The following is a 10107-nucleotide window of genomic DNA, read 5'->3' as shown; positions in this document are numbered from 1 at the left end:
CTGTGGGGAGAGGCCCACATGTCGGGGACAGAGAGAGCAGAACGTGCCCTTGGCCCAGGCCAGTGGGCAGTGTCGTGAGCACAGAAGCGTGGTGAGCAGGAGCCCTGAGGGTCATGCCCAGCAGAGACGGGGCTGATCTGAGCTTGAAAATCACGCTCTGGCTTCTCTCTTTTTTTATTGTGGTAAAATATGCATGACATAAAATTTACCATTGTAACTGTGCAACAGCATTAAGTACATTCACACTGCTGTGCAACCATCACCACCATCATCTCCACAACTTGCTCATCTTCCCAAACTGAAACTCTGTCCCCATCAAATTACTCACTCCCAATCCTCCTGCCAGCCCCTGGCACCTACCTTTCCACTTTCTGTGTCTCTGAATTTGAGGACTCCAGGGACCGCATACGAGCGGATCAGACAGTGTGTGTCATTTGGTGACTGACTTCCTTCACTGAGTGTTGTGTCCTCAGGGTTCATACCCACTGTGGTGTGTGCCAGGATTTCCTACCTCTCTAAGGCTGAGGAATATTCCCCTGTCTAGATGGACCATGTCTGGTTTATCCCTTCATTTGTTGATGGACACTTAGGTGGCGTCCACCTTTTGTCTGTTGACAATAACGTTGTCACAGACATGTGTTTGAGTCCCGGTTTTCCCTTCCTTGGATGCACACCCAGAAGTGGAAGTGCTGGGTCCTGTGGTGACTCCGTGGGATATTTTGAAGGATTGTCACACCCTTTTCCACAGTGTTGCACCGTTTTACATTCCTGCCGGCCGTGCATAAGGGCCTGGGTATCTCCACATCCTCACCGATGCTTATTTTCTGCTTTTTTGATAAACTGGCTTCTCTTTGGGACAAGACTGTAGGGTCAAGGGCCAGGGCAGGAGGAGCTGTCCAGGTGGGAGCAGAGGTGCTGAGTGGCGGTTGTGTCCTGGGATGGTGGGAGGTGGGGCACAGGCGTTGCTGCTTGGTTAAACGTTGGGTTGAGAGAAAAGGAAACACCGGGGAGGGGTCCAGTGTCTTTGGCCTGAGCAACAGACAGGAAGGCATTTCCTCTGCTCTGAGGGATGTGGAAGGAGCAGCTGGGGACAGGAGGGCCAGAGGGCTAGAGTTGGATGCGTTATGTCTGAGATGCTCTTTGGCTGTGGATGTGGTGGGGATGGGTTAGGGCTGAGTGGCAGGTGGACGGGTGAGACTGGGCTCCGAGGGAAGTTTCTGCTGCAGATACAAATGCAGTCTACTGTGAACCGCCTGCATCTGGCTATGAGACGAGGAAAGGGGTCTGCTGTGACCTGTGTATCTCTGGTCACATAATGACCCAGCTAACAGAATGAAACACAGAAAGCACCTGATGGGATGCAGCGAGGGAACGTGAGAACAGCCACTCAGCAGCAGCGTTAGAAAAGGCTCCTCCTTGGAAGGGCTGTGGCATTTGTCTTCTCATCCTCCCCTGTCCTCTGTACCTCTCGGTCTTTCCTCTGTCCTTTAAGCCAGCTCCCTCCTTTTCCCCTAATCTCCCCTCTTCCCCCAGGTGACACCTGAATCCCGAGGGCCAAGAAATTCCTTTTGTAGGTCTCACAGAAACCTTTTATTCTCAGGTCACAGTGATTTCCATTTCATATCCCAAGCTGCAGCTAGGAGCCACCGAGTCTTAATTATGGAAACTCTTATGCAAACCTGACGAATGTTCGTGTCTTCTCGTCAGGCCTATGTTCATGGTCTGATGGCTCTCTGGGCGTCAGCCATGTGGGAACGAGAGGAACAGGTCCCACATGGAATCTGCCCGTGTGATTTCCTGGCTGGAGCTCTCCCTGGAGCTGGAGAAGCCTCCAGCCCCCCATGCGTCCCCCCAGCGTCTCGTTTTTGGGCCTCACTTCAGCTGTCTCCCTGCATGAGATGATGTCATGATAACCAATTCTTCCCACCTCTTCCCCCTGCTCCCACCACCACTGAGGTTCTTCCCAGGTTTCCAGGGTACTCCAAGACCTGCCCCCTTTGTAAGATCCTTTCTCACCATCACAGCCTGTATTCTTTCCCACTTCTCTGAAATCTCAAAGCTCTTTTGTTGTTGCTGGTTTCAAGCCATCTGATCATGTAATCATGTTGTTTTGTGGGAAGGTCTTGCTCTTCTACTCTGACAGGCAGAGCTTCTGAGGATAGAGGTCATGTCTGTGATTCGTTTGGTCTCCTGCTGGTTTTCTGGCCCCGTGGTGGGCAGATCAGAACAGGCTCCACCAGTATTGTTGAAGGAGAGACAGAGCCTACCCTTCATACACCTTGCACATGAGGGTGTCTCACAGTTTCTTCCACATAAATAGATGGCTTCTTATAGGGCATTACAGGGTAAACAATAACAGAAGCAAGATTACCCTGAAAGATGGCCCATTGTTTTTGGTGACGGTGGTCATCTTCCTGCCAGTAGTTCAATCTAATGTCGGTACAAGTGTCTGGATGTGGAAACAAAGAGCTCCTTGTGGGAGGCTTTAACCTGGCCCCATGCTCCCATGGAGATCTGGCGATGAACTAGAGCTAAGATGGGTCTGTGCACTTTGGAAGACAGCAGAACTGGCTCCATCTTACTCTTGAATCTTCACCAGGATCAAATGTTTGGGGACATGGGACGTTGGTGTGTTGGAGGAATGTGTGTCTTTGGTTGGCCCAAGCACTGAGGAACTGTGTCTCAGAAGCCCAGTGCGTGCTCCAGATGTTTCAGTGAGACCGCATAGTATGAGGGCAAGGAGAAGCGCCTCTCAACACAGCACCGGGTGTGCGCCTCCATCTCAGGCCACGCAGAGCCACTGCAATGCAGCACCCGGATCTCCCTTCAGGAAAAAGGATGAATTCCTCCAGCTCCCGGGAATGCTGCCAGCAGACAGCACTCACCGTCGGCATTCCCTGGGAACCGCTTCAGGTGAGTGGACAGACCTGCCCAAGTGCACGTCTCCTCAGAGAAACCCACATTCAGTGACAGAGAGAAGCAGGTGTGCAAAGGCCTGGTCTCTCGCCCTGTGAGGGAGAATGCCGACGGCCGTGGGGTAGGTGGAGGGCTCCCTGAAACTGTAGTCCTGCTCTCCTCCTCCCTGCAGGCTGAGATTCTGGAGGCTGTCCTGGCATACGCCTTGTGTGCCAGCCTCCTGTGCAGGGTTTGCCTCTTGTGGAACCCACGAGGACAGCCCCAGGGCGTCTTGGCTGTTCACTCCCCAACAGCACCTTGCATTAGCCTTCGTGAGTTCCATCAACACCACCTTGGCCTTCAAGCCTGCTCTCCCCCCAGAGTAAGCATGGTGTACTCAGATGGAGTTCATCTGTAAATCACCCTGGATGCTGCAATTCATCTGAATTAAGTAACATGTACACAAAACCGGGTCTCACAGGGGCCTTGCACATGTGCACATGTGTTGTGAGTCCTCTGGGTTCGAGATGATGCCAAACATCTTTAACACTCCCCCGCACACCCTAGGCTGCAGCATCTGACTGTCTCTTCCTGTGCCTGTCAGGGGCAGTGGGTGAGCTGGCAGCCCACTTTTTGTGTCCTGTGAACTCCATGGCTCCTTGTCCCAGTGTCCCTGTCTTGCATGGCTCCATCTGCAGCATCTGACCATCTCTCTGTGGGGAGACACTCTCAGGGCACCCTGACTGTGTTGTGGGTCCCATCGTAGTAGCTGGTGTCTTACCCCTTTCCATTGTTTTTATTCTCAAAGACCTAGCTCAGGGCTTTTGCCTTTCCTATTTGATCTGATACCATTTAATCAGCTAGAAGTCTTTTTCCTTTAAATTGATGAGCAGAATTCTTCATGAAGTTGTGTTACACTATGAGTTCCTTGCAGGCAGAGACTGTGTTTTATATACCCGAGTATGTCCCTGGGCACCTGACTTTCTGCTTAGTCCACAGCAGGCGCTCACACCTGCTTCCTGAAAGAGTAAGAGAATGCTGCCGAGGTCGGACTGCACCAAAGCTCCCAGCCTGAGCTTGGCAGGTAGAAATGCCTTCTGTGGTTACCAAGGCAGGTTAATGTTCGGTAAGAATTCCTTTCAAATGCCTTCTAGTCGCCTGGAAATTCTATACATGAACAGTAACCTGCCAGGGATTGAATTGCAAGCCAAAAGTCATCCTGTGAGGGTGAATAGAGTTCTCAAAGTTTTATTTAGTAACCTCCCTTTACAAAGCTATTTTTTTTCCCTAAGTGAGAAACAAAACCAGAATTCTAACTCCGAGTTAAACCTAAGCAAACAGTGGTGAACACAATGGATTATGGAGCTGTAACCGGAGCTGGGCCCAACCCTGAGCAAATGGTGCAGCCAGCGAAGTGTGTCTTTGATGCCCTCTCCTTTCTGTGGGCTCCACCTGCACCCTGATCTGGGCTCCCTCACAGGCATCTCCATGAACTTCAAAGCTGGAACTCCACCCACAGCTGAGCTGCACCCAGACAGAGATGCGGGCAGAGCTTTCTAAGGAACCCAAATTAGCAGCTCATGGACGCAGCGTTAATTTGCTCTTGCTGCTGGCTGACTTTGAACTTAGTATCTCAGTTTTCTCTCTGTGTCACCGGCTTTGAACTTCAATGCTTTGGTGCCTGCATTCTCTTTATAACCCACTGTGCCCCGGGACCTCAGAGGGCCCCACGAACCCCAACCACCACCTGCCTGGACTCAGCCTGCCTCTGCTGCTCAAATCCTCACCTGCCTCAGCACCCCAAGACAGACACCTCGGGCCCCGCATGGGTTGGAGACATTTATTGGCAGTCCTCATGCACTTCTCTGACCTTGGAGGGCTCTTTTGGTTTAAGACTGAAGCCCAGGACGGAGCAAAAGGAGATGGAGCTGAGAAAATGGGATCATCCTGTGTCTATCCTGGGATTCTGGGCTTTTCTGTCCATTAATTCACCGAAGGAGGAAACTTAGCTCCCTGATCATTCAAAACACTTGTGCCTTTTCCCCTCAACTCCTCATTTTCTTTTCCTGACCAACCTCCAGTCGTCTGATAAATAAATCAGTGTGACTTGCCAATAGCGACAAACCCTTTTGTAATGTAATGTAGCTTCCAAAGTAGTGGGTGCATTTCCAGAAGGTGTCCCTTTATCCACCCAGGCCTTATTTTCACAGGGACTTCAGAACAGAAAATAATTTTGGTGGCTTTTAGTTCTCTTCAAACGATAGGCACACAGCTAGCTACCAATTCTGCCTGTGTAAGGTGGGCATCCCGAGCTCAGTAGAAATGAGGGCTGAGGAACACACACTGGGAGAACTTTAATCACAAAATAAGAAAAATAAACACAACCGCAACTTGCAAAGGAAATAAAAATGAACAGCGACTTAGATTTTCCCCTACAAATCCCACACATTTTATGATTTGAACACCAGGATATAACCAGCATCCCAGAATTCTTGAGCTAGGCCTGGCTCCAGCCCCTCATTTTAAAGATGAGGAAACTGAGGTGCTGAAGGGTTAAACGCCCAAGGTCAGGGTTTGTGGCAGTGGGTGGCAGGCAGGCCAGGTGCTGCCGGTTTCTGGCCATAACTCCAGGTCTCTCCAGGGGCAGAACAGGGCGGCGGGGCTTTGTCAGGCGGTGCTGCAGCTGTCCATAGCCCACTCTAACCTCAGTTCCGCTTCTCCCACATGGACTCCTACTCCTGACACGTGGCTACTAGAATATAGTGCACGCGAGGGTGGGTTATTTGTTTTGTCCACTGATGGATCCCGGCGCCTGGACTCATGCCTGCCACAAGTGTGTTGGGCGAATATCTGGGGGTCTCTGAACACATCCCGTGTCCTCCAGACTCCATGGCTTCAGATGGGCTAACTTCTCATCCTTTCCACCTCTCCAGAACCTATTCCCTTCTTGAAGTTTCAGCTCAAATGCCCTTTTGTGCAATCATCATTCTGAAATGTTTTCTCCTCTCCCTCTGGATTCCTGTGGGATTCCTGTGGCATCCCTGTGCCTGGTGATTTGAAGTTGCCTTATTCTCTCACCATATGATAGGTGCTCAGAAACATGTCTCACCTACCTAAGATGCTGCCCATCAACACCTGTTCATTGGTTGATTGGCCCCTGTCAAGGAAGAGTTGCCCTGTTTATTGGTTGGTTGGCCTTGTCAACGAAAAGTTGCCCTGTTCATTGGTTGATGGGCCTTGTCAAGGAAGAGTTGCCCTGTTCATTGGTTGATTGGCCTTGTCAAGGAAGAGTTGCCCTGTTCATTGGTTGATTGGCCTTGTCAAGGAAGAGTTGCACAATTCCTTTCTCTGGATGCCCTTAGGGTTTGCTTCAAGGGTGGAGGTGGTGAGTCTCTGGGTCTCATGGAATAGACACTTTGCCCAGCAGGGGCAAGTGCTGGAGGAGAGACCCAACAGCAGCTGTGGTGGAAACTCATGACAGGCAGGGAGGACTACTTCAGTTCCTGAAGGGAAGATAGGACAACTTTCAAGGCAGTAATTCAAGGCAATTTCAAGGCAGGGTGCTGGCAGAGTCTCAGCGTTTTTGGGCTGTGGCAATCAGCCCCATGCCAAAAAGGACATAGTTAAAAAGAGCCAGGATGTGGATCTCAAAGAACCGAGAAGAGCAGAACTGCCATGCTCCGGACGACCGGGCTGGAGGTGGGTGCGGGAGAGAGAGTGAAGCCACCTGAGTTGGGGGCAGGATGATTTGGGATGGTGAGCTGGCCAGGTCATTCTATTAACAGTTTTCTGATTCTTCTATATTTCTTAGTATTATAATTTCAATCCTGATGACTTTCGTCAATCCAACGACTCCTAGTGATCAAGAGCTCTTGAAAATCATGGGTCCTCAGATGGAAACCTCAGAGCACACAGACATTTTCTGTGCAGTGTCACCTTTATTTCCATTGTCATCGCAGAAATTCCTGAGTGGATGCTCAGTGGCTCTGCCAGACCGAGGGCTTTGGAAAGAGAGCTCCATCTGCCTCCTTAAAGCCCAGGGCCACGGTTTGCCCCACGGAACTGACAGTCGAAGGTAACGCCCAGGTGATTCCCTCGCTTTTGCTGAGGAGGCTGTGGCTGGGGAGGGCCAGTGTCTTGTCGGAGACCTCATCTCTTCTCAGTGGTGTTGACAACTTCCTCCTGAGGTCCAGCTCACTTCCTGTTCGGGCTTCTCTCCGGCCCTTTCTTCCTCTGCCCTCCCCGCCCAATGCTGCCCTGAGAGCTTGGCCCTGGACTGGCGGCACACCCAGCCCCGTCCCTTCTGTCCGCTGCAGACCTTCCTCGGGCTCCTCGTTGGGAATGCTCCCCTCCTCCTGTCTGATGCTTTGTCATCTCGGAAGGTCCGGCTGGTGTCATTCTCCCCGGTGTATGTTTGCTTATTTTTCATTTTACCCCACACAGATTTAGAGCACTAATAACTCCTATTCTACCCATCATCAGTGGCACACCCTGAATTATTCCTAGACTCTTAGCTGAAACATCTCCATCCTGAGGGCAGGGGTTGCACCTTCTTTTGAATCCTGGTCCTGTCTATTCAATCAATACCTGACTGACACTTCAGAGTGAGCTGCCTAAAGTAACAGCTGAATTTTCTCTGTAAAACATAAGATCATAACTCATAACTCATGTGCTCATACAAAAGATGGACCTTGTGGGAAACATGCTTATCTCTACTCCAGAGGCCTGCATCCTTTCTGCAATGGGATTCAGGGAGCCCCAGGGCTCTGCGTGGCTCCTGCAGTCTTGTCATTATTATTATTATTATTATTATTATTATTATTATTATTATTGTTATTTGAGAAAGAGTTTCACTCTTGTCGCCCAGGCTGAAGTGCAGTGGCACAATCTCGGCTCACTGCAACCTCCACCTACCAGGTTCATGCAATTCTCCTGCTTCAGCCGCCCAAGTAGCTGAGATTACAGGCATGTGCCACCACACCTGGCTAATTTTTGTATTTTTAGTAGAGACGGGGTTTCACCATGTTGGCCAGGCTGGTCTCGAACTCCTGACCTCAGGTGATCCACCCGCCTGGGCCTCCCAAAGTGCTGGGATTACAGGCGTGAGCCACCACGCCCAGCCAGTCTTGTCCTTATTCTTAAAAGGATTACCTTTCAGGACTTAGCCACTTCCCTCTGTCCCCTCTTCCCATGCCTGTCAGGGGCAGTGGGTGAGCCGGCGGCCCACTTTTCATGTCCTGTGAACTCTGTAGCCCCTTGTCCCACTGTCCCTGTCTTGCGTGGCTCCAGCCTTTCAGCCTCCACAGTCCATTGCTATGTGGTTTTGTGATGTGGAAACACGTATCCGTTAAAAATGGAATTGAGAGCATTAAGCCATTGAAGCTAATAATACATTGCACTTAAGCGCCTCGAAATTTACCCATAAACTTGGGAAGGCTTCGCAGTCTTGACCTGGAATCAAAAGCTGGGATGTGTTACAAAGGCTTTGATGCAGGAGTGGAGTCAGAAGCCTCCAGGTTAGTTAATGATTAGGCAAGAGAGCCATGTTCTCATCGTGGACTCGTTCCAGCCAGCAATGACATCTTATTTCCTGGGTGCCATGCATTTAAAGGCCCTTTCGCAGCTCCGAGTTAGCCCTCGGTACAGTCTGCTGAGGTGGGCAGGGCGGCTGGGACAGGTCTCACTTTATCAGTATGCAAAACACAAGCGAGAGAGAGGAATGTGCTTTTCCCAAGGTAAGTCCCTGGGGCTCTGGCCATGAGAATGGCTTACGTGAGACACCTCACAGGTGCCATCCAAGGCAACCTGACCCCACTCCACTCCTTCAGCCAGCAGGACAGAGCCCTCACCCTGGGCCAGGTGTGGTGTTTAAGAGTGAGGCAGTCAAAACAAATCCCATCTCCCAAATTTGGAGGAGTCCTCTTCTTGCCCCTAATGGCATGGCACATGTGCAAATCCCTGCTACGTACGTGCTACGTTCTCCATTCCAGACAGACACCCTGCTAGGATTAGCCTCTCTGGGTTCCCACTGTAAACCTTGGAATCGTGTTATTGCTATTGTCATTCTCCCCTGGCATCCAAAACACTTCACATATGTTCACATTTCGCCCCCATGCATGCCCATGCACGTAGAAAACCCCACCAAAGTCACAGCTGCACCTCACACTGAGAAAGTTCTGCTAGTTTCCGTAACCCTGGAAGAGCTACTTTTACATTTTTATGAAGGGATTGCACAATATTATAAGCTGTAGTTACTTTTAGTAATTTAACCATCCCTGATCGAGATCAGCAACGTCAACGCAATGCTCTCAGACTGCTCAGTTTCCCCAAATGGACTTTTAAATTATTTGGCTGAATCTTTAAGGGGCCTGCCAAGACTAAATGCCGTTCACTCAATTGCACAGCACTTTAATGTGACCAAAACTACATCAGATCAAAAGCTGAAGGCTTTCTCCCTTCATGTTTATTTGATAATTGTGAGCCATTAAAAAGATGGATTTGCCGTAAGCCTCTGAGCCCGTAAGCATTTCAGCAGTCTTCCCTTTGCTGCACTGTGGGTGACAGGAGCTGTGCACCAGTGTGGAGGCCACGGAGGCACAGGCACATTGTGTTGAGGTGCGTTTCAGCTTTCCTGGTTGAATTTCATTTTGACAAGGAATATGGGAGGAGTTGAGACCTGAAAGCTCTGAGCTTCGGAATCTTGTTCTAAGCTGTCATGAGCTTGCTCTCTGCCCTTGGGAAAGTTGCTTATCCTTGTAGATCCTCGATTTCCTCATCTGTGCGAGGGTGATATAGCTATGACCCACCCCATGGGGTTCGTGAAAAACCACAAGATAGCATCTAAAATAACATTTGGGAAAACAGAGCATTCACAAAATACGAGGATTACAATGAAGTGAAATCATGCATGTGTTTAATTTACGTCAGTTCGACTCTATTGCCCTGGGAGAGGCGCCATTCAAACAGAGCCCAGGTTCCACCTGCCGTTTGACATCGGCTCGCTGCTGGAGTTGGTCCCGTGGCTGGTGGTGCAGACCTGGGGGCCTCAGGGGGCTCAGTGCCCTCATGCCTTTGGTAGCACGAGTGTCTCACGGAGTCACCTGCAGTGACAGGGCTCAGAGACACCTGTTGCCTTACATGCACGACTCCCCACATGCATATCAACCACTGTGTCTACCCACTTCTGCATCAGTGATTTGTGGAGTTTTGGGG

General features: G+C 50.4%; 1 long non-coding RNA gene across 1 annotated transcript; it reads left to right on the top strand.

The window, feature by feature from the left end:
• Window positions 1-261: 261 nt before the first annotated feature.
• On the top strand, window positions 262-5005 carry LOC124901792 (uncharacterized). The gene is made up of 2 exons (XR_007060618.1): window positions 262-2913; window positions 4188-5005. It is a non-coding gene; the product is annotated as an uncharacterized LOC124901792 (long non-coding RNA).
• The last annotated feature ends 5102 nt before the right edge of the window (window positions 5006-10107 follow it).

The sequence above is a fragment of the Homo sapiens genome, chromosome 7, assembly GCF_000001405.40.
Source record: "Homo sapiens chromosome 7, GRCh38.p14 Primary Assembly".
In the NCBI taxonomy this organism is placed as follows: domain Eukaryota; kingdom Metazoa; phylum Chordata; class Mammalia; order Primates; family Hominidae; genus Homo; species Homo sapiens.
The sequence above is the reverse complement of the archived record's forward strand: the minus strand, read 5'-3'. Positions and strand labels throughout refer to the sequence as shown.